Genomic DNA, 24,793 nt, shown 5'->3' with positions numbered 1-24,793 from the left:
GCGTTTATATTACAAGTGCAAAGAACCAATTATCTGTGACATTTTTTTCTTTCTGGAAAACTATCTCAACGAATAATCTCAAGCCTCTCACTGCCCCCAAGTTCCACCAAAAACAAAACCACTTTCAACCACTGAGGAGCCAACCTGAGCCGGCCATTGCATCTGTGGCGGCCTCCCTGGGGAGGGGCAGTGGCAGCCGGGAGGGTGCAGGATCGGGCTGGCGAAATAATCTCAGGGGAGGGCCGTAGGGTGCAGGGAGGACCGGAGGGTGCAGTGAGGACCGTGCTGGCAGAATGATCTTGGGGGAGGTGCAGAGGCGCCACGGGGATGTGCCGGCTCAGCCAGCCAAGGGCAAGGAGGCTCAGGGGGGTGAAAAGGAAGGAAGGAGGCCTCAGGCAGGGAGGCCCGTGTCCAGGTGCTGCGCCAGGACCCACCGCAGGCTCAGGCCGCAGAGGCACGGGACCCCGAGGGCCATGGTGAGAGAAGTAGGCACTCAGACCCCACCACAAGGGACACGGGGCCCAGGAGGGCCGTGTCTCATTCCCCAGCCACTGACCACAGTGCCTGGGTGCAGCCTCCAGCCCAGGCTGCCCTTCGCTTTCTCCCAAAGGTGCCACCTGCCCAGGCCTGCTTCTCCCGTGAGACATCAGGACCCGCGATGGCTCAGCGACTACTGTGAGAAGCAGCAGAGCCCAGAGGCGAACCAGCAGCCACAAACCCAGGTCCCATGGCCCTCAGATGCAGACCCCAGCCCCCAACCATAACCCTCTCAGATGCAGGGTCTAGCCCCCCACCACAACCCTCTCAGATACAGGGCCCAGCCCCCCACCACACCCCCTCAGATGCAGGGCTGCAGCCCCCCACCACACCCCCTCAAATGCAGGGCCCAGCCACCCACCACACCCCCTCAGATGCAGGGCCCAGTCCCCCACCAGAACCCTCTCAGATGCAGGCCCCAGCCCCCCACCACACCCCCTCAGATGCAGGGCCCAGCCCCCCACCACACCCCCTCAGATGCAGGGCCCAGCCCCCCACCACACCCCCTCAGATGCAGGCCCCAGCCCCCCACCAGAACCCCCTCAGATGCAGGCCCCAGCCCCCCACCACACGCCCTCAGATGCAGGCCCCAGCCCCCCACCACACCCCCTCAGATGCAAGGTCCCATAACTCCCTAGACACGGGCCCCAGCCCCCTATTCCCCCCCAGACATGGGGACCCCAGCCCCAGAAGGTGCCTGTTCAAAGGGAGCTCCGGGGTCCCGCTGGGCACCTGGGTGTGCTCCTGGACGCTGCCTCTGGGCACCACAGGGAAGGTGTTGAGGATGGACAATGCATGGGGCCAGTGGTCCAAGAGGAAGGACCCGTCCACTGGGGCCCAGGGCAGGTGCCAGGCTCAAGCGCAGAAGGCCTCTGATCCCAAGGAGGCAGCGCCGGCACTTTTGGAAATGGAGCAACATTTGGAATGCTTTAGGACTTTCTGTCCAGTAGGATTTGAGAGCAACTTTTAGTAGAATGAAAAAGAAGAGAGTGTTGTGAGGCGCTGCCTTGTAGCTTCCCGGCCGTCTGCCTGTTGAGTCTGTGTTCTCGAGTTCAGGATGAGATTTTCTCAAAGGCGGCACATGCAGCTGTAGCTACTTAGCGTCCTGATTTCAGACGAAGAAAATGCAGGGACGACTGAAAACACAAAACGGATACCACATTTGAATTCGGTGGCATGACCTGCAAAAGCGGACCCCAGCGTCCCCTCCTGCCGGAAGCAACTGAACACAGGTGAAGTGGGCGTGGCTCAGCAAGGCCTGGCTGGTAGGGTCGGCTGAGGCCGGAGGTCAGCAGCCCTGTTGGTTGCTGGCTGGGTATGGGTGCCTTGAGGAGGTTGCCATTAGCTCTGGGTGATGCTGGTGGGGCTTCAGAGACCCTGGTCCGCTGCTGAGTGAGGTCCGGACCCTCAGGACAGCCAAATTTGTTTCCATCCTGCATCAACACTTGCCACCCAAAACTCTGCTCTTGTGTCCTCAGCCCCAGCCCACCCAATCCTGAGGGCTGAGGTGGCCCTCCCCTCCACGCCCCCTCACCTGAAAGCCTCCTTGGGGCCTTGGCAGCAGCAGCCAGCTCTGTGGGAGGGAAAAGGAGGCTTGTCCAAGTGAAAGCCAAACACACAGCCACCCCCCCTTCACCCAAGTTCCCTGTGAATTTGCGTCTTTCTGCAAAACTCTACCCAAATCGTGTATGTGGAGCAAGACTACTGCCGGCCCCTCCCTCCCTCACCCTGGAGGCTGCAGTTCACGTTAGCACAGTGAACACTCTTCCGTGATTGCACTAAAGAAACTTGCTTGTCGTTTTTAACCCAGCACTTCCCAAACTTACTCGCATGGAGCTCTTTTCTTGCAAAACGCGTATTAACATTTGGTGGAACACTTGTACTCCTGAAAGCACAGCAGCGGCAATTCTCGTCTATAAATGGTTTTGAATTTAACAAATGCCATTCAACGAGGTTTTTCTTAACAGATTTATTGAGATATACTTTAAATGCATACAATTCTGTGTTTTTAACATACGAAAAGAAATCAAGCTGTTATTAGCAGTTACTTCCTGCTTCCTCTTCTCTCCTCCCCTGGCAACCCTAATCCACTTTTATTTCTACAGGTTTTCACTTTCTGTACATTTCACATAAACAGAACAATGCAACATTGGTCTTTTGTGGCTCTTTCACTTAATTTTTTCAGGTTCATGCATGTAGCATGTGTTTGTAATTCATTCTTTCTTTTCCTTTTTTAAATAATTCATAGATTCACACATCATTTCTTTGTAATGGCTGAATAATATTCCATTGCGTGTGTTTGTGTGTGCATTTGTGTTTTTGTATTTTTGTGTGTTTTATGTGTTTGTGTCTTTGTATTTTTATGTGTTTTTTTTGTTTTTTGTTTGTGTGTGTGTATGTATGTTTGTATGTTTGTGTTTGTATGTTTGTGTGTATGTGTTTGTGTGTGTGTGTTTGTGTTTTTGTATTTTTGTGTATGTTGGGTGTGTTTGTGTTTGTGTGTGTGTGTGTCCCACCTTATGTCCTTTCATCAGTTGATGGGCATTTGGGTAGTTTCCATTTTGGGCTATTTTGAATAGTTCCCTATGACATTCTTTGTTTTAGTATGTGCTCTTCTTAGACACAGAGCCAATAGGATGCATGTACAGAGAGAAAGATAAGAAGGGGATTTTTTAGCGGAATTAGCTCATGCAATTTTGGAGGCTGAGAAGTCCCATGACAGGTCATCTGCAAGCTGGAGAACCAGGGAAGCTGGTAGAGTGGTTCAGTCCAAGTCTGAAGTCTTCAGAATCAAGAAAGCTGATGGTGTAACTCTCAATCTGACACCAAAGGCTCAAGAGCCCAGGGGGTCACTGTGTTAAGTCCCAGAGTCCAAAGGTCAGAGAACCAGGGGTTCTGACATCCAGGGCAAGAGAAGAAGGGGTCCCAGCTCCCCAAGAGAAAACAAGAATTCAGTCTTCCTCTACCTTTGTTCCATCCAGGCCTTTAGCCCAGATCATTGAGGGCAGATCAATGCAGGTGGACCTTCCCCACTCAGTCCAACAACTCACACCTCAGTCTCCCCCAGAAACACCCTCACAGACATACCTTGGACAGATCAATCATTCTAATCAAATGCCAATCTTCCTAGGTTTCTCTTTTGGCAGAAGAGGGATGGGCTCAGTGCCTCCTGGAGTACTGAGGATGATCAATGGCCTCCCAGCTACCTGGGCATCTCTTGATCCAGTCAGGTTGACACTTATAATCAACCATCACAAGTCCACCCCTTGTCAACTTGGCACCCACATGCATCTCCTTAAACCATATTTAATCTCTTAAAAAGATAATGACAAGGTCATAGTTCCACCTAGCATGATACAATTCGTACAATAAAAACACACTAATTCCTTCCCCAGAGGAGGAAGTGAAGTCCTTGAGTGACATTTACTCCTCTCCTGTAACTTAAACACTATGGTGTAAAATTAACAATACTTAAATACTGATGCAAACTCAATACATCTCATATGATAAAGGAGTAAGATAGAAAAGAAGAAAAATTTGCCTAATATATGTATATTTACATGCAAACATATTCGTAGCAACACAGGGAGAAAACACTCATGGCAGTGGCAGCCTTTGATTCTGTAACTGGTCCCGTGGGTGTAGCTGGTGCTCCTAATGACCTTCTACCACCTGCTGTGTTCTGTTTGCCTGCAGCAAGACCTCAGCTGGTTGCCGTGCTGTACCTGGCAGGGTGACCCAAACCTTCATACCTGAAAGGCCTGGGACATTCATAGCCTGCCTGGATTGGGTTGTGGTCATTTCCCATTGACCAGAATCACAGGCATGGTAACACCAAGAGATGCCCTAGAGGATCTCCTATTTCTCCCTTGTGAAGGAGTAGGCCAATTTCTTCTTGGTATCAGGTCAGACAGCCAACACTTTGACTCCCTTCTTAGCATGACTCTGAGGCATGAGAAGCCCAAAGTGGTCAGATAGCATCTTAACTTCCAGTTCAGTTGAATTATTGTTGTATCTCCTGGTGGTAGCATTTCTCCCTATGGAAGGAAGACCTCTAGGCCAGCAGAGCATAAAGTTGGAAATAGGAAGTAATAACTCCTCTAGCAGGTCACTAGGGGTGATGGATGGTGAGTGGTGGTCAGAAGCAGTGCTGTATGGAGTATCATGAAAGGCCAGAGAACCTGGAGTTCTGACATCCAAGGGCAGAAGAGAGAGCAAGAATTCGCCCTTCCTGGCTCAGTGCCTACCAAATCATTGAAAATAATTCTTTGCCAACCATCTGGGTATTCCTAATCCATTAAAGTTGACACCCAAATCATCTCATTCCTGTACATGTTTTTGTGTGGAAATATGTTTTCATTTCTCTTAGATGTTCACTTAGGATTGCTGGGTCAAGTGATAACTATGTGTTTAACGTCCAAAGAACTGCCAGATATTTTCCAAAGTGGCTGCACCGGTTTACATTTCCATCAGCAAGGAGGGCTCCAATTTCCCAACATCCTTGCCAAGACTTGTTATTGTCTGTCTTTTTAAATACAGCCATTCTGATGTGTGTGAGGTGGTATCTCATTGTGGCTTTGATGTACATTTCCCTAATGACTAATGATGCGGAGTATCTTTTCATGTACTTATTGTCCACTTCCATATCTTCTTTGGAGAAAATGCCACTCAAATCCTTTGCCCATTTTGTAATTGGGGATTTTGTTTTTCTTATTGAATTGTAAGAGTTCTTAATATATTCTAGATACATGTCTCTCATCAGATCTATGATTTGCAAATATTTTCTCCCATTGCGTATGTTGTCTTTTTACTTCTTTGATGTCATCTATTGAAGCAAAAAAGTTTTTCATTTTGGTGAAATCCAATTTACCTATATTTTTTCTTTTGGTGTTTAAGAATGCATTGCCTAATCTAAGGTCTTGAATAGTTATTGCTATGTTTCCCTCAAGGGCTTTATGGTTTTAGCTGTCACATTAGAATGTTAATTAATTTTGAGTTAATGTTTGTGCATAGCGTTAGGTAAGCATCCAGCTTCATACTTTGGCATGTGGATGTCCAGTTGTCCCCAGCACCATTTATTGAAAGACTGTTCTTTTCCCTACTGAATTATCTTGGTGTATCAAAGACCAATTGAACAAAGGATATATTTCTGGAATCACAGTTCTATTCTATTCATCTATGTCTATCTTTGTGCCAATACAAGTACTTAGTACTGTAGCTTTGTAGTAAGTTGAAATCAGCACATGTGAGTCCTCTAATTTTGTTCTTCTTTTTCAATAGAGTTTTTGAGGACCCTCAGTCTTTAATTCTTTGGTCACCAGATGGCCTAGGTCTTGTTATGCCTCATGACAGATTCAGAAACCTGTATTTTGTTTTCTCTTTTTTTGTTCTTATTCTGTATCTGAAGGTGGTTCATAGTCTATCTCTTCTTGTATATCTTGTTCCCAAATCATATTAGTGTTCATTGTTGAGGCTCTCACAGTGCAATCTTCACCCTTACCCAACAAGAGCTATAGACATCAGGTGACTCCAAAGATGGTGAGTTCACCTAGAAAATAAGGATTCAGACTCTTTTACCTACCAGGCACCCAAGGAGATACATGTCTATCCAATTATTTTATCTCTCCAATTATTTTATCTCTCCAATGTTCCTGTTTGAGGCCTGGAATGGCACCACAAACCTTAGATGATGATGACTAGCAGACAAAACTATACAGAATTAGAGTATAGTGTATTTGATCCTTTGTATCAAACATCCCAGTGTGAGATCCTCTCAACCCTGTAGTAAACTGAGGCTGTGTTTTTAGACCATGGATAAAGAGCATTAATAATACTGTTTTGTGAGACAAGGAAGGTGCTGTGGCTGTTTTCGACAACCAGTAGAATTGGTACCCTCCGCAACTGTTCCAGTTATCTAATGCTATGTAACAAACCATCACAAAACTTGGTGGCTTAAAACAATAACATAAATTCTGCTCACAAATCTGCAGTTTGGGCAGGGCTCACTGGGGACAGCTCATCTCTGCTTCACTTGGCCTGGTCTGGGGAAGCTCTGAAGCTGGGAGCTGAAGTCACCCACAGACTCACTCATGCCCTGTGTCTAGTGGTTGATGGGGAGAAGGTTCAGTAGCTGCAGCTACCCAGGCATTTCTCTCTATACACAACCTTTCCATGTGGTCTCTCAGGCAAGGAAGCTTCTGGATTTGTTGCAGGTTGACTTGGAGCTCCCAAGGGACATGTTCTGAGAGAGACTGCTGAAAAGAATTACATCTCTTTTATTACCCAGCCACAGAAGTCACACACAATTCTACTACATTCTATGTGTTACCAACAAGTCACTAAGTCCAGCCCATATTCAGAGGGAGGGGAGTTAGATTCCATCTTTTGATGAGAGCTGTCCAGGGATGTGTGGACATGTTTTAGAACAACCCCAACTACCTGCATGACTCCATGATACCACACTTTAGCTAAGACAGAGTGTCCTTGATGTGAATATGATAGCTTTCTTATGGTAATTTTACATTGGGACAGAATGACTAAAATAAAAAAAGGGCTGATTAGGATCAGGATTATGTAGACCAAGAAGAGACTTGGCTAATAGGGTCAGGATGATGAAAAGCGTCTGTAGGTCATTCACAGCCAGAAATGTGGAAAGATGTGGAGGGGCAGAAGCTGCTGCAGTTGAGCCAGCGAGGATCCTGCAGGAAGAAGATCAGCATGGATGCCCCAGTTGTCAAAATATTGAAATGTTTCCCTACTAGATGAGAAAAATCTGCTTATGGGTACAAGTCACCCAATAATGCCACCTGGTGGCACCAAGGGGAGAGGTGACAAGGCCTGAGGTGGCAACACAGGAACAGGCTGGCAGCATGAGGAATGGACATCTCGCCCTTCATATTCAAGTGCATGCTGGCCATGTGGCCTCATGGCTGTTCACCAGGGAAAGAGCTGGATGCCATTCCTGATGTCAAATCAGACTTCAGATAGAACACCACTTGGCTACTGTCAATCTTGTCAAACAAAAATAAATCACACCAGCAATTTTCTAAAAATAAGATTTGGAAAATTTTAAAGTGATTTGATGAACAACTATGCCACAACTTATGTCATTTGATAAGCAGTTTTATGAAATACATATATACATAGGCACATATATATACACACATTATATAAATGTCACCCTGAAGCTCACCTGCCAGGTCTCTTTATGGGAGTGCAGAGATTCAGCTGGATTTGTTGCAGGTTCTCCTTAAGTCCCAAGGTTTATTCAGAAGAAGTTGGAAGTTCTCAAAGGAGGTGAATGGTGAAATAGTTAATGGTCAACCTGTGGCTAAGCTAAATTCCTACAAATGATTTATTGCTTCAAGCAAAATTTGCTTAATTGAGGTATAATTTATGTGTAAGAGAATTCATCAATTTTCACTGTAGTGTTACAAATTGGCAAATGTAACTTTATAGTCATGAAATCACCACTACAATCAACATATGGAACATTTCCGTCATTTCCCGAATTTCCTTCTGTCCCTTTACAGCCACTGTCCCCCCAACCTCCAACCCTGGCGCTGGCAACACTCCTCTGTCTGTCGCTGTGGTTTTGCCTTTTCTAAATTTTATATAAATGGAACCATATAGTATGTACTCATTTGCATCTGGCTTCTTTCACTTAGGATGTTTTCAAGATGTATTCACATTATTGCATCATATATGAGCAGTTCATTCCTTTTATTATTATTTCTTTGCAGAATAGAATTCATTTTTTTAATATATGCCACAATTTATTTATCTACTCACTAGTTGAGAGTCACTTAAGTTACTTCCACTTCTTGGATATTATTAGTAAAACTGCAGCTATGACCATTTGAGTACAAGATATTGTGTGAACATAAGTTTTCACTTCCCTTATGTACGTACTTAGGAGTGAGATTGGCAGGTTGTGTGTTTTCAGTTTATTTTTTAAATTGCCAAGTGTCTTCCAAAGTGTCTGTACCACTTTGCATTTTCATCAGTAACGTATGAAAACTTCAGTTACTCCACATTTTCACCAACACTTTGTAGTGTCAGATTTTTTTCAAATTTGACCATTCCTAGTGTAGTGATACCTCATTGCGGATTTAATTTGAATTTTCTTAATCACCAATGAAGTCAACATCTTTCTGTATGCTTATTCCCATTCTAGCTCCCTTAGTGAAGTGTCTGTTCAAATCTTTTACTCAGTTTTTTAAAAAACTAGGTTGTTTATCTAATTATTTGTGAGTAGTAAGAGTTCTTCAAGTATTATGGATATAAATCTTATGTTTAAAATGTGTATTTCTCAAATACTTTCTACTAGTCTATAGTCTAGTCTATGGCTTTTAAAAAACACTATTTTCTTAACTGTCTTTCACAGGGTAGTAGTTTCAGTTTTTATGAAGCCTAATTTATCAAAAATTTCTTCATGAATCATGCTTTTAGTGTCATATCTAAGAAATATTTGCCTAAATCATGGTCATAAACATTTCCTTCTATTTTTTAGAAGTTTTATAGTTTTAGCTCTTAAAGTTTTTGACATATTATGAGTTGACTTTTGTGCATGGTGTGAAGTAACTGTTTAAGTTTATTTTCTTGTATATGGCTAGCCAATTATCCCAGAACTATTTTTTGGAAAATTATTCTTCCCCATTGAATTACACTGGTATCATCATCAAAAATCAATTAACCATAAACCTAAGTTTATTTGTGGACTTTCTATTCTGCTTGGTTGGTTTATGTATTTATTCTTACACCAATACCACACTATCTTGATTATGGTAGCTTTTTAGCAGGTTTTGAAATCAGGTGGTGTAAATCCACCTGCTTTGTTCTTTTTCAAAATTGTTTTGGCTATTCTAGGTTATGTTTACTACCATATAAATGGTAAAATCAGCTTATCAACTTCCATAAAAAAGATTTGCTGATATTTTAATAGAGATTGCATTCAATCTGTAAATCAATTGGAAGAATTTTCATCTTAGCAATAGTGAGTCACCCAATCCATGAACATGGAATGTCCCCCATTTTACTGGGATATTTAAAACTTAGTAATATTTTGTAGCTTTTAGGGTATATGCCTTGCACTTCTTTTGTTACATTTGTTTCTTCTACATATTTTATTCTTATTGGTGATTTTGCAAGTGTGATTTTTTAAAATTTCATTTTTGGATTTTTACTTATTAGTATATTGATCTACAGTTTTATTTTCCTGTAATATTTTTGTCTGGCTTCAGTATTAGAGTAATGTTGGCCTCAAAGAATGAGTTAGAAAGCATTCTCTCTGCTTCTATCTTCAGGAAGAGTTTGTAGATAAGTGGTGTAATTCATTTTTTAAATGTTCAGTAGAATTTACCAGTGAAATCATCTGAGCCTGCTTTCTGTTTTGAAAGTTTTCAATTATTGATTCAATCTTTTAAATAGATATAGACCTATTCAGAATTTCTGCTTCTTCTTGTGTGAGTTTTGTCAGCTTGTGTCTTTCAAAGAGTTGGTTCATTTTATTTAGGTTATGAAATTCATGGGCCCAGAGTTGTTCATAATATTCCTTCATTATTCTTCTAACGTCCATGGGATTTCCAATGATGTCCTCTCTTTCATTTCTAAGTTAGTAATTTATACATTCTCCCTTTTTTTATTGGTTAGCCTGGCTAGAGACTTATTGATTTTATTGGTCTTTTCAAAGTACCAGCTTTTGGTTTTGTTGATTTTATTTATTGATTTCCGGTTTTCAATTTTATTGATTTCTGCTCTTATTTTTACTATTTCATTTCTTTTCCTTACTTTGGATTTAATTTGGTCTTGTTTTTTCTACTTTGCTAAGGTGGAAACAGTTTATTGATTTTAGAAATTTCTTCTTTTCTAATATATGCATTCAATGCTATAAATTTCCCCCAAGCACTGCCCCCACACCCAATTTTTTTTTAGACAGAATCTCACTGTCATGCAGGCTAGAATGCAGTGGCATGATCTCAGCTCACTGGATCCTCCACCTCCCGGGTTCAAGAGATTCTCCTGCCTCAGCCTCTCGAGTAGCTGGTACTACAGGCAAACACCACCACATCTGGCAAATTTTGTATTTTTAGTAGAGATGGGATTTTGCCATGTTGGCCAGGCTGGTCTTGAACTCCTGACCTCAAGTGATCTGCCCACCTCAGCCTCCCAAAATGCTGGGATTACAGGCATGACCCACTGCCCTTGGCCCCTAAGCACTGTTTCTGAAGCGTCTCACAAATTTTGATGAGTTGTGTTTACATTTAGTTCAAAATATTTTTATTTCTCTTGACATTTTGTTTTCTACTCATGTGTTATTAAGAAATGTGCTGTCAGATCTCCAAGTAGTTAGGGATTTTCCAGCTATCTTTCTCATACAGATTTCTAGTTTAATTTGATTGTGGTCTGAAAGCAGACATTGGGTGGTTTATATACTTTCAAAATTTATGGTCCAGAATGTGGTTTATCTTGGTGAATGTTTCCTGTGAGCTTCAGAAGAATGTGTATTTTGCTCTTCTTGGAAAAAAATAGTCTGTAGATGTCAAGTATATCCAGTTAATTGAGGATGCTGTTGAGTTTGAGTATATTTTTACAGATTTTCTGCCTTGTGGATCTGCCTGTTTCTGATAGAGGGGTATTGAATTCTGCACCTATAATAGTGGACTCATCAATTTCTCCTTGCAGTTTTATAAGTTTTTGCCTCTTGTATTTTGATGCTATGTTGTTAGACATATACATATTAAGGATTATTATGCCTTCTTGGAGAACTTACCCCTTTATTATTATGTAATTCCCCTCTTTTATCCCTGATAATTTTCCTTGTTCTGGAATCAGCTCTGTCTGTAATTAACATAGCTACTCCTGCTCTTTTCGTGTTAGTATAGTATATATTTCTCCATCCTTTTACATGTGTGTGTGTCCATATTTAAAGTGGGACTCTTGTAGACAACATATAATTGGGTCTTATTTTTTGATCCACTCTGACGAACTCAGTCTTTTGATTGGTGCACTTAGACCACTGGTGTTTAAAGTGATTAGTGATATACTTGGATTAATATCTATCATATTTGTTACCATTTTCTACTTTTTTTGCCATTGTTTGTTACTATTTTTGTCTTCCACATTTTTCTGCTTTTTATACTTTGAATTGAGCATTTTATGTGATTCCATTTTCCTTCTTTACTTCACCTATCAATATTTACCTTTTATAACTTTTTTTTATTGGTTGTCCTGGAGTTTGGATCATACACTTGCAACTGATCCAAGTCCACTTTCAAGTATCACTATACCACTTTGGGGGTAGTGCAAATGTCTTATAGTAACAAAACAATCCTAATTCTTCCCTTCTATTCCTTGTATCATTGTTGTCATTCATTTCAATTATACATAAGCATATATAGAGACAGATATAGGTATAAGCATACGTAATTGAGTACGTTGTTACTATTATTATTTTGAACAAACTGTTGTCTGCTAGGCCAATTAAGAATAAGAAAAATGGCCAGGTGTGGTGGCTCATGTCTGTTATCCTAGTGCTTTGAGAGACCAAAGCAAGAGGATCACTTGAGGCCGGGAGTTTGAGACCAGTGTGGGCAACATAGCAAGACCCCACCTCTAAAAAAAATTAGCCAGCTATGGTGGCATGCACTTGTAGTTCTAGCTACTCAGAAGGCTGAGGTGGGTGGACTGTTTGAGCCTAGGAGTTTGAGGCTGCAGCGAGCTATGATTCTGCCACTGCACTTCAGCCTGGGTGACAGAAGACCCTGTCTCTAATTTTAAAAAAATAAGAATAAATACAATATTTATATTATCTTCACTTATTCATTCTCCACTGCTCTTTCTTTGTAGATCTAGTTTCTGATCTATTTTTTTTCATCTTTCTAAAACAGTTCTTTTCATAATTCTTGCAAGGTGGGTCTACAGACAAAAAAAATCCCATTTTTTGTTTATCTGAAAAAGACTCTATTTCTCCTTCATTTTTGAAGGATAATTTTGCTGGGTACAGTATTATAGATTGGTGGGGGTCTTTTTCCTCTCAGTATTAAATATTTCATTCTACTCTCTTCTTGTTTGCATGCTCATATAGTTTGGATATTTTCTGCCCTCCCAAAAGCTCATGTAACTGAGGCCTGGTGGGAGGTGATTGGATCATGGGGGTGGATCCTTCATGAATGGTTTAGTGCCACCCCCTTGGTGCTGTCTTCATGAGAGTGAGTTCTTGTGAGATCTGGTTATTTAAAAGTGTGTGGCACCTCCTTCTCCCTTGCTCTTGCTTCCACCACGTGACACACCTGCCCCTCCTTTGCCTTCTGCCGTGAGTCAAAGCTCCTTGAAGCTTCCCCAGGAGCTGAATAGATACCACGGCCATGCTTGCACAACCTGCAGAACTTTGAGCCAATTAAACCTCTCTTCTTTATAAATTACACAGTCTCAAGTATTTATTTATAGCAATGCAAGAAGAGCTTAACACACATGGTGTCTGATATGGTTTGTTTCTTTGTCCCCACCCAAATCTTATCTCGAATTGTAATCCCCATGTGTCAAGAGAGGGACTTGGTGGGAGGTGGTTGGTTCATGGGGCAGGTTTCACCCATGCTGTTCTTGTGATAGTGAGTTCTCACGGGATCTGATGTTTTACACGTGTTTGACACTTCATCCTTCACACACACTCTCTATCCTGCCACCATGGGAAGAAGATGCTTGCTTCTCCTTCCGCCATGATGTAAGTTTCCTGAGAGCTCCCCAGCCATGTGGAACTGTGAGTCAATTAAACCTCTTTCCTTTATTAATTATGTAGTCTCAGCTATTTCTTCATAGCTGTGTGAAAATGGACTAATACTGTGTCTGAGAAAAAAAGGGATGTCATTTTTATCTTTGCTCCTCTATAGGTAAAGTTTTTGTTCCCTCTGGCTTATTTATCTTGGATTTCCTGCAGTTTTAATATGATATGCCTCTGTGTAGTTTTTGGCATTTATCCTGCTTGGTATTCTGTAAACTTCCTGGATGTGACATTAATTTAGAAAACTTCTTAGTCATCATTGCTTCAAATACTGCCTGTGTTCCTTTCTTTTCCTTCTGGTGTCCCATTATGCAGATGTTTTTCTCATTGCCCTTTTGTAGTTGTCCCCCAGTTCTTGAATAGTATCTCCTGTTTTTCATGGTCTTTTTCACTTTGCTTTTTCAGTTTTGAACTTTCTATCATCATAGTGTCAAGCTCAAGTATTCTTTCCTCAGATGTGTTCAGTCTATTGATGAGCCTGCCAAAGACCTTATTCATTTCTGCTAGTGCTGTTGATTTCTAGGACTTAAAAAAATAATCTTAGTATTCTCATCTCTCTGCTTACATTTTTCACATATTCTTTGCATGTTGTCTTTTTTTCCACTAAAGCTCTTAGCATATTAATTATAGTTTAAAAACTTCCTGGTCTAACAATTTCAACACTCCTGCTACATCAACTTTGGTTTTAATGCTTGCTCTTTCTCTTCAAACTGTGTTTTTGCCTTTTAGTATGCCTTGTAATTTTTTTGAACTCTGGATATGATGCACTGGGTGAAAGGAACTGCTGTAAACAGAGGCCTCTAGGGATGTGACTGAGTTGTGTGGGAGGGGAACTGTTCTACAGTCCTGTGATTAGGTCTCGGTCTTAGTGAGCCTGTGCCCCTGGTCTGTGAACTTCACAAATATTTCCTCTCTTAGGTGGGACAGGATGACTGGATTGGGCTGGAGCTGGATATTTACCTCCCCCCAGGTCGGTTTGGCTCTGATAAAACCCCTGCAGGTGGGGCTTGGTTAGCTGGTTTCTTGTTAAGGAGAACAGAATGCTCAAGTATCTCTCAGAATGGTTCCTTTTTGCCTCCCTCTGCCAGAACCATGAGGGGACATTTCTCCAATATTCAGTGGGTGAACCTGGAGAAGCTCCAGGAGGCAACACTCACAACAGTGTGGGGCCCCTGTGAGCTGCTCCCAATGCTCAGGCTTGTCCACGCTAAGCCTCCACCGATTCCTCAATTTCAGTTCAGGTCTCCCTGCCCCAGCACTGGTTCCCACAGAAGTTTTGGCTCATGCGTTTCTGCTCCAGCAAGCTGTGATTCTCTGTATTTGCCTGTTTCTCCAATTTTTGGGGAAACACTTTACACTGTGACCTCACTTCTCCGACAGATCTAAGAAGAGTTGTGGATTTTCCGTTTGTTCATCTTTACACTTGTGGTTAGGATGGAGTGGTGACTTCCAAACTCCTCACATGCTGACTGAAAACCAAATGTCAGCTTCTTAATTATTTTTAAATTTTTGCTGATACACTATTTGCTTATTAGCTCTATTTTTTTAAGTGGTGGCTCCAGGATTTACAATGTTCACCTTTTGTGTATCACAGTCCACTTTTTAATAATAACATCCAAGCTCAGGTTAGAAGAAAGAGCCTTGCAAGAGCGTCCTTTATTCTAATACCTCATGCCTTTGTGGTTTTGTTCTCATACGTTTCATCTCCATAGATGCTGTAACCCCTAGAATACATTGTGATTATTATTCCTTTAAATAGCCAATTATCTTTTAAAATCTCAATTTAATTTTATTTTCATTGACACTATTACAGATAGAGTGACCAGAACCATATTAACATCAATTATCTTCTTAAAAGATTAAAAGGAAGAGAAACATTTTTCTTATTTACTACATATGTACTATGTCTGGCCTTCTTTATTTGTGTAGATTAGTTTTCATCTGACATCACACTCCTTCTGCCTGAAGAGTTCCCTTCTGTGTTCTCATATTGCAGGTGTGCTGGGTTCTGTCAGTGTTTATTTATTCCACTTCCAGTTCTGAATGGCCTTTTCCCTGGATAAAGAATTCCAGTCTAACTGCCCACCTTGCTCCTTAAGGATGCATCTTCACCGATGTCTGGACTGCGCCGTCTTTATGGTTTGTCTGTCATCATCCTCATCCTCATCTCTCTACCTGCTTTTTCTCTGGCTGCTTGAAGGGTTCACACTTTGTCACTGGTTTTCAGCAATTTGATTCTGGTGTCCCTTGCTGTGGTTTTCTTTCTGTTTAGTCTGCTCTTGGTTTATTGAACAACTTGGATCTGTAAGCTTTTGTTTTAATCATATTTGGAAAATTTATAGCTATCATTTTGTTAAATACTGTCTATCTTTGTTTCTCTTTCTCTCTCCCCCTATCTCTATCTCTATTTATACAGCTGCAGATGCAGATACCCACATACACATACCTGTGTCTCCTACTGGTTTCTGTGGAGAACCCTGACTGACATAGTGTGAGAAGAGGTACTTTGCATTTTATGTCCTTCTGTACTTTTTAAATTTCTTAAAGGTTATATTAATATTGAATTTATTTTAAATTACTTTAAACTTGAATTAGAAGTTTTAATTTAAAATTTAAATTGTTATTTTTTGAAATTTTTACTTTCAAATTGAAAAAAAATTAAAAATTATATAGCCAGCTTTCATTTTAAGTAACAGCATACTGCATCTGCACCCGAGTAGCCGGCCCTAAATGTTCCATGGAATATTAGTGCCACGTCCTTCCAGAAAAGTGAGGGCAGGTGATTTCACGGTCAAAACAAAATTTAGTAAGCACTGGATTTAACCAGGAAGTAAAACCTGTTGACCTTCAATTAATGTCTTTACCACATTAACCATCAACTAGCCTGGGCATCCCAAGCTTCCACTCCTTCTTGAGCTAGCAGCAGAGACAAGTCCTGGATTCTCACTCGAAGGATGTCTAGAATCAGTCATTCATTGAAAAGTCTACGTTAGTTTGGAACTTCAGATACGTCTTTTCCTTGTGTTGTGTGATACCTGTCAGGTGGAGTAAAGAAGCAAAGGTGTTGAGCCGAGGAAGCGAAAGTTAAAACCGCACGTCCCCACTTTCTAATTCTGTGACATTTGGAATTTCACTCACTCTCTCCAACCTGGGTTTCCTTGTCTGTAAAGTGGGTGTAACAGAATCTTCTTCACGGGTGTGCGGTGCAGACTGGTCATTTCGTGCTAAAGCATCTGCCACACCGTGGGCATTTTGTAAGTGGCGGCGGTGGAAGCCATGGGGTGTCGCCAAAAGAACACTCTGCATTTTCTTTCAAAAGACAGTAAAATCTACTCAATGAGTGTCACTTTTCACCCGTCAGCTTCTCTGCCTCTCTGGGCACCATCTTCTCCCTGTTCTTCTGAAAGCTCTTGATTCTGCTCTTACTCTTTACGGTTGGCTTTGCTTGTGTAAAAGATGGAACCCTCTGAGAGCCCTTTTGTGGACCAGTGGGTTGAGACTCCTTTAACTGCTGTTACTTCTTATCTCCAGCCAGGGCCCTTCCCACAGGGCTGGTCAGGCGATGGCCACACTCACCCCCCACGCCTGGCCTCTACCTTCCAGGGCCGGTGCATCCCTGGACCAGCCTCCCTCCCTCCCTGGGTTGGCCTGAGGCCGTCTCCCTCCCTGTACCTCTGGCCAGCCAAGGCCATTCCAGAGACAGCCGTGCTGGGGAGAGCTTAGGCTGTAAATCACCTTCCTCCTGTCCTGCCTGTCCTGGGCTCAGCTCCATCTGCCCCTAAAAACACAAGGTGCTGATTTTCATGAGGCCCCTCTTGTCATCGCAGGCTGTGATTTACAGACGTGCCCTCCTGTCTTCCCGGGAATGCCTGGGTCATCTTACAGGAGCCTGGAGCCTGGTTTGCAGGGTCGGAAAAGGCCTCCCTCTGCTCCCCGCATCCTCCATGGTGTCAGCATTGCTCCCTTGCTTTTTTTTTTTTTTTTTGGTTGTTGTTCTCTGGACAAACAAATCAAATGGACAGGTCTGGAAAAGACATCTGCGGCGGGTGTCTTTGCAGACTTCCCGGGAGCCCTGCTCTGGCCGAGTGCTGCCCTGCGGGGGTTACCAGCGCAGTCCCGGTGAACAGACCTCCAGACAACAGCAACTGGAACCCCCAGGGTGGGGCCACTCCTCAGGGGCAATGACAAACCAGCCTCGGCCCAGGCTCTGACCCCGGGCCCCTCCAGCCGCATCTGGGAGGACGAGGGAGGGGCGAGAGGCAGAACGCCCTGAGCAGCTGCGTGCCATTGTCATCACAGCCTGGTTGTCACCGGTGCCTGGAGTCACGTTCCTGGGGCTCAGCCACTCACCAGCTCTGCACCCTGCCATAAGGGGTTGAACTGTGCCCCCCAAATTCATGTGTTAGAGTCCAAACCCCCAGTACTTCAGCCTGGGGCCTCTTTTGGAAATAGGGTCATTTCCAAAATGACCATCTCAGCAAGGACATCCCTGGCCATGCTGGGATGTGGTAACTCATTAGTAAGCTGTGAAATAAATTGAGAGGATTGGGACCAGTGGACATGTTTGTTTTGTTTGGTTTTTGTTTTATAGAATAAAATCGGAAGAAGATACCAGAATGTGTCCCACGTGGCCAGGCCAGGGCGGTTCTGCACAGCTCCTAGGATCGGCAGGTATGTGTCTGCACCCGTGTGTGATCCCCAAGAAGGACGCGTTTCCTGCTGTGAAGCTGCCGCTCCGAAGTCCTGTCTCTCAGGTGCCCGTCAGCAGTGGCTGCTCCATTCTCCCAGCGTTCGTCCCCGTCCCGGTTGCGGCCCGTGCTCATCCCTGTCCTGGTTTCGGCCTGCGCGCTCTGAGTAGATCTTGCCTGTCTTTTGGGTACCATTTCCCGGGACCTGGGCCATGTCCGCAGGACCTGCAGTGTTGGAATCTCAGCTGTGCCTGTTCCAACAGCACCGCTCTTCGCCCAGAGCCACCAGTGTGTCCACTGCAGAGAGAAGCCCCACACCCCTTCCTGGCTGCCCATCCCACCTCACGCAGCTCTGTGGACCCCGAGTGTCCGCTGTGCACCAGCTCTGGGACACTGGAGGCCGGCGATGCGCTCCCAGATGGGCTTGGCCACAGGACTGTCTCTGCAGCGGGTGCCCTTACAATCACCAGGAATGGCCTGCCTGCCGCCCTGCCCAGTGGATCCTCCACACGCCGAATGCTCTCCCACCTTCCCACCGCTTCAGCACCCAAAGCTGAGACGAAGCAGGGACCCCTCTTAGGAGTCTTATCCCCCACCCCCAAGCATGAAAATAAAGGAAAATCTTGAGTTCTTTCAAGAGAAATTTCAGGTACCCAGCTCGCCCTGAGAAGTAAATGAACAACTTCACAAACAAGAAGGTAACAGTAGCTTAAAACAATAGCCAAGGAAGCAGCAGTCACGAGACGTTTAGCTCCTGGTAGAAACTAGAGACCCTCTTCATGATGTGCCCGAGTCGCTTTTCAGAAACCCAGACCAAATGCGTCCCCTGCTCGCAGACCTCGGAAAAGGTGCAGTTGAGGCAGAACTCTGAGCCCATTCCTTGTTCTAAATTTCTGCCTGAGGGGCCTGGGGGAGGCCACGCCCATGAGCCAGACCTAATGTTTTCTTCTGCGGATCCCTAAAGTTTAGACAAAGCTTTGCCTCCTCAATCAACTGCAAATCAGAAAATCTTTGAATCCACCTGTGACCTGTGGGCTGCCTTTCCAAATCGAACCAACGGACAGCCCTCATGTGCTGATGATATATGACTTTGCGGGTCACCCATGACCCCCACCTTTGAGACCTCACCTTTAGGCCACTGGGCAGGTCGGGACTGAGGCACCAGCTGCCTGAGTCTCCCGGCTCAGCGCCCTGCAAATTAGTGCCTTCCTTTCTCCCACTGCAAACCCCATGTGAGCATCTGGCCTTGCTGCGTGGGGAGAGTGGACCCCAGTCAGGTCCAGCGGCAGAGCCCCGGTGTCTGTCTTCTCTGCCGAGAGCCCCCGTCCGTCTTCACCGCCGAGAGCCTCCATCCCCTGCCTGCCCCACCGGCTCCCATGCTCTCACTCCTCCAGCAGTTCCCCCCTTCTCTGCTTCTGAAGGTGATTTGCTGTGCTTCTAGGGTGTGTTCCCACATATTCATTAGGTACAAATCCTACCTCAGCAAGCGTCAAACCCTACCTGAGCCCCTGCAGTGCTTCCGAGAAGGGAAGGACTTGTGGAATCCCGGGCCTGAGGCTGGCCTGATGGGGCAGGCGTCGCCCTCCCTGTCCGGAGCCCGGTGGCCTCTCACACCGGCGTACTGTGTCTGCAGAGCCAGCTTCACCCCTCCCCAGGCTCTCCCTCCCCAGGGCCCAGCATAGGGCTTTGGGAAAGGATGCTGGGCCAGTGTTTTCGGAGAGAGCAGATGAGAGCTCCACACTGGAGACTCAACACCTTCACTGTGTGATAAAGGCAGGGCTGGCCCTGGACAGAGGGGCTGCCGGGTGGGGCTACTGAGAGGGCTGGGGCGGGGGTGGCAGGTGCCGGTCTCCGCTCTGCTGCCTAAGTCAGGTCACCTTGCGACTCCTAAAGACTCAGGGCTAGATGGTGGGGGCAGGAGCGGGGAAGGGTGCTTCCTGGAAAAAGCACTGGGTCCTGGAGATCCCAGCAAAAGAGTGGACAGAGGAAGCCTATGCCTGTTAACGGAGGAGGCGGCGGGCTACATGCTTCTGCAGAACAATAGGAAAACAAGCCCTGTCGGCAGGAGCCAGGCCTTTCATCTGGCAGGGGGCAGGTGAGGGAGGAGGCTGCGTCCCAGGCTCAGAAGCTTCCACTTTCTGCCTTCCTTGAGGTGGTGTCTTGCTCCCAAGGGACCCAGGAAGATGAGAATTTCACAGGGAAGGAACTCAGAGCTGGCAAAGAAGGAGGGTGTGGGGCACAGACAGGGCAGGCAGGAGGCTTCAGGCAGCAAGCCCAGCCCAGGCCGCACGGACACCCTCGCAGATGGAGCATGCAGAGACCAGACCACGTCCACACAGAACCCAACCTGGCACGGTGGTCTGGGCTTTGTAGCCCCCCAGAGTCCCTGCTGCTCCAGGCCTGCAGGGTCTGCCTCAGCCGCCCCCTTGAAGTGAGCACCCTTCACCCTGGGGCCTGGCCCTATGTGGGGCCGGCGGGCAGGTGGGACCGGAGGCAGGTCTGGAGCCCCAGCCTCTGTCCTGTGCTCTCCACACCTCGTGCTTCTGCACAGGGCTCGGCAGGGTCCAAAGGATTCCAGTGTGGTCTGTCAGGCGCGTTGTCTGGGTCAGGGCCCCCAGCACACTTTTAGTTTGATTTGTAACTTTAAACGTTTGAACACAGGGCACATGGGCTTCTCTTTCCCTGGCCCGCACAGTATCTGGAAGGTCAGCTCAGAGTCCGGCACAATCATTCTCTATGAGAACTTTGTGGTCAGACAATATGGCTCAAAGGCAGCCTCCTGCCGTGTGGGCGCTCACCGAGCTGCCCTGACCTCGGTTCCCTAACCTGGAAAACGGCAGAGAGACCCTGCAGAGACGTGCCCTGACCTCGGTTCCCTAACCTGGAAAACGGCAGAGAGACCCTGCAGAGACGTGCCCTGACCTCGGTTCCCTAACCTGGAAAACGGCAGAGAGACCCTGCAGAGACGTGGGGCAGGAGTCACAGGCGACGCAGAGCCCGATGGGCCGCGGCACTGGGCTGGGTTGGGCAGTGCCCCCGAATTCATTTCCCTGGAGCCTCAGGATGTCACTGTAGTCGGAGAGAGGGTCTTTGCAGATATGGCCAAGTTAAGGTGAGGTCATTAGGATGGGTCTGGTCCAACGGCTGGTGTCCTTAGGGGAAGAGGGAAATTTGAACATAGACACGGGGAAACGCCACGTGAAGACGGAGGCTGGGGCTGGGGGGCAGCGTCTGCAGGCCGAGGAAGGAGTCGCCAGGAGGGCTGCAGGGCCGAGTCTCCCCGGATTCTTTGGAGGGGCCGCGCCTGGCCCGCCCGGCCTTGGCTCTCAGACATCCGGGCTCTAGGACCGTGGGAGGCCGCATCCCTGCTGGTCCAGCCGCTGGGTTTCTGGGGCTTCGTTTCAGCAGCTCGGCATGTAAGAGCCGCAGCTCCTCTTCACTGCCCACCCTCAGGCTATGTGGAAACCCCACTCTCTTAGGACTAGGCAGACCCTTTGCTTTCTAAACTAGCGAGAACGCCATTCCCTGGGTCTGGCAGCTCCCCTGCACTGTGCCGACACCCAACGCTCACTCAAGGTCCGGGCCAGCTCGTCCTCACTGTGCCGTGGAGACCCCTGGACCTGCCAGGTCCCACAGCCGCTTACCGGCCAAGTCGGTGGAGACCAGAGACCATCGCTGCTGTTTGTGCCTCACACGGTTTTGAATCTCCAGGGACCAAGTGACTTCCGGGAAGGTGCGGTGAGATCTGGACTCACTGCTGATTCCCTGAGATGTGGGCCGAGGTTCAGCTGCTCCTTGAACCTGTGAGGTACAGGCCAGGGGTGAATGTGAGTTGGCCAGAAACAGTTCCCCGAGGATACCAAAAAGCTAGTAATAAAATGAAAATAAGTGCAGCTGGCAGCTCCTAGGTGCCACCCTGCCCTGACCCAGTTCCCTTGGCCTCAGCAGCACCCTGGAGGATGGGAAAAGGCTGGCAGCGTGATGGGGAGGCCCCGGAATCCCCTTCTGCATCAGGCCTGCTCCTGCCAAGCACGCACCCGCACCCCACAGCCTGGGGGCAGGCAGGCCTGGGCTGCATTAACCCTGTTACCCAGGGGACCCCCGGGCACTCTCCTGGGTGGAGCCCACGGGGCACTTGACTTGGTTTTTGCAAAAAGACCTGCCAGTCTCTGCGTTGGCTCCTCCCTTTCACTCTCTCCTCTGGGTACATCTCCAGGCCAGGGGGTCCCAACTCCAGAGAGCACGGGGCAGTAAGAGGGCAAGTGTGGGGACGGCGTGAGTCCACTGTGCAGGTCGGAGGTGGCCCCAGCCTGAGGAATACTGCGCACCCTCCCTAGCAAGGACCACAGTGTGGTATGTTTGCTCGGCTCCAGAAAACATAAATCAAATCCAAGAGGAGGAAGACCTGAGTGGTATTTACCGCTCAAACCCGATCTTTTTTGAACTCAGCTGCCTCCCTCACTGAACGGGGATTGTGCGGTCAGCCTGGGTGCAAGCCAGGGTCAGCAGACATACATCCCTGCCCACAGTGCCCTGCAGTTGAGCGTGAAATTCCACCACAGCTTCCCGGGGCCTGGTTGGTCGGGAAGACTCACATCCCGGCCTCTCTTCCTGTCGTAAAATCACCCCTGCGTGGTGTTGGCATATTTGCTGTCCAGCTCAGCAGGGGCGGGCCCCTGGAGCTGCCACGGATCAGCCACCTGCCCCTCCAGGCCTCCTAGCTCAACAGGTTGTGGGTGCCACTGGGACTCATAGCTCCCGGGACACTGGGGCTACCCGTGCCTACTTGGACAAAGCTGTTAAAAGCCCAAGCCCCCACGGCTGCTCCGGCTCAACGTGGGCTCCCTCGTGTCAGCCCTGCTGATGCTGACCTGGCTTTATTTCCATCAACAGACCCAACACCCAATCACAACACAGTGAAAGAAGAGCTGGCGAGGAAAACCGTGTTTGCTTGCACCAATGTCCTGGACTTCTTCGCTGAAACCTAAGTGGACGCTGAGGAGAACGCCCCCCACGTCCTCAGGGACCGAGCCACTTCCAGGCCTCGCCAAGAAGAAGGGCTGCTTTCCACAGGTTTCTTTTGTGGAAATGCCCTGTCCAGCCTTGAGACTCACGCAGGGAGTGTGCGAGTGTGTGCCCGGGGAGTGTTCATACCCCTCCGGCTTCAGAAAACAAAGAAAAATCACCTTTACCTACTGCTTTTGGTGTTCAGGCATATCTGAAATTCATTGTTATGATTATGATGGGTTGGAGAGGTCATCGTTTCAGGATATGACAGAGTTTAGTAACACAGACCATGAGGTTCTCTCAGCTTTGTGGGACTCAAGGGTGCCACACTGCCATGTGTTTGAAGGCTACCGCGAGGTCCCCGGAGCTCAGGAAGAACCGCGTCCCTCTGGGGAGGAAATGCAATTTGCTCTTGCTTAGGGGCCTGTGTTCGTACCCACATATCACAGGGACACGGTGGGGCTGTGAGGCAAGGGCACATTTCACGCAAGAGATGCACCACGACCGTGAACCAGCAGCGGACGCAGGACGTGCGCCAAGACAAACACGGCCCAGGCTGCCGGGCAGTCTGCCCAGGGCAAAGCCTGATTACCAGATGGGGCCAGGAGGAAACGGGCGGACCCGGCTGCTGTCCCGTGGGCCTGGTCATCGTCCACAGTGCAGCCAGGGCTCGCCCGTACACTCCGTGCATATTGTCTGGAATTCACTTCTGGCTGCTACTAAAGCGGGGTCGCCGTTTATCCGCACGGAGGAAGGCCATGAGAAGCCACACATCAGTGTGGATTTACATCCCACGTTCCCTAAAGGAGACAGCGCGGAGCGCTTGAGGCCAGGACAGGCACCCGCACACAGCCCGTCTGCCGGCCTCGCTTCCTCCAAGGGGGTGCCGGCCTGACCCCGTTCTCTTCCAGGCTGCTGAGACCAGCATCCGAGCCAGCCCAGGCCATAAACAAAGCCACAGCCAAAGGTGCTTCAGCAGCAGATGCCCATCCCCCAGCTTGGGACTGCAAGCCTGGGGTCAAGGTGCCAGCAGAGGAGGGTCCACTGAGGCCTCTTCCTGGCTCACAGAGGCACCTTCTCACTGAGCTTGGCAAGGCCGAGGAGGAAGCCAGCACTCCCTTTTCTCTTCTTGCAGGGACACCTGTGCCATCCTGAGGCCTCCACCCACAGGACTCCATCCAACCTCAGCACCTCCCAAAGACCCCACCCTAACACCGTCACAGGGGGCTTAGGACTTCAGTGCATGGATCCTGGGGGATCCATTTCAGTCCACAGCAGCCATAAGCCAAAGACTTCCTTCCGAATTCTTACCTGGTTAAGCGAGAGGCTCCTCTGGGCGTTGTTGCTGCCCTAATGGGGCTGGTGGGCCACAGACGGCAACAGGCCAGGTAGCAGGATCCCCAGGTCCAGCAGTCCTCGCCGCATCTGCTGCTCCAGCAGCTCCTCCACTCTTCCTAGGGCCTGAGCCTACGCTGTGAGGGACCTCGCATGCAAAACAGAGGAGGTTGTAGGGGGTTGTGGGGGGCGGGGACGAGGGATCTTTGTGATCAGAGTAGAAGACGGGCAGGTGAGGAGTTAAATAGGCCGCCAACCAGAGGCAGGTGTGAGCAGTTAAACAGGCCCAACCAGAGGCAGGTGTGAGCAGTTAAACAGGCCCAACCAGAGGCAGGTGTGAGCGTCACCTGCTGCTGAACACCTGCTGTGAGCCTTGGGAGCCCCAGACAGGGTCCCTGACTCTGTAGCTGGTGTTCCCCTCCCTCCCCCGCGAGTCCTACAAACCAGG

At 47.3% G+C, this 24,793-nt stretch overlaps 1 long non-coding RNA gene across 1 annotated transcript; it reads right to left on the bottom strand.

Moving 5' to 3' along the window:
* Nucleotides 1-2,859: 2,859 nt before the first annotated feature.
* On the bottom strand, nt 2,860-24,489 carry LOC107986674 (uncharacterized). Its single transcript, XR_001744483.2, has 5 exons — nt 24,322-24,489; nt 21,648-21,804; nt 7,730-7,823; nt 6,703-6,788; nt 2,860-6,085 (listed from the first exon to the last, which is right to left on the bottom strand). It is a non-coding gene; the product is annotated as an uncharacterized LOC107986674 (long non-coding RNA).
* Nucleotides 24,490-24,793: the final 304 nt, after the last annotated feature.

This window comes from Homo sapiens, chromosome 6, assembly GCF_000001405.40.
Source record: "Homo sapiens chromosome 6, GRCh38.p14 Primary Assembly".
Taxonomy (NCBI): Eukaryota; Metazoa; Chordata; class Mammalia; order Primates; family Hominidae; genus Homo; species Homo sapiens.
The sequence above is the reverse complement of the archived record's forward strand: the minus strand, read 5'-3'. Positions and strand labels throughout refer to the sequence as shown.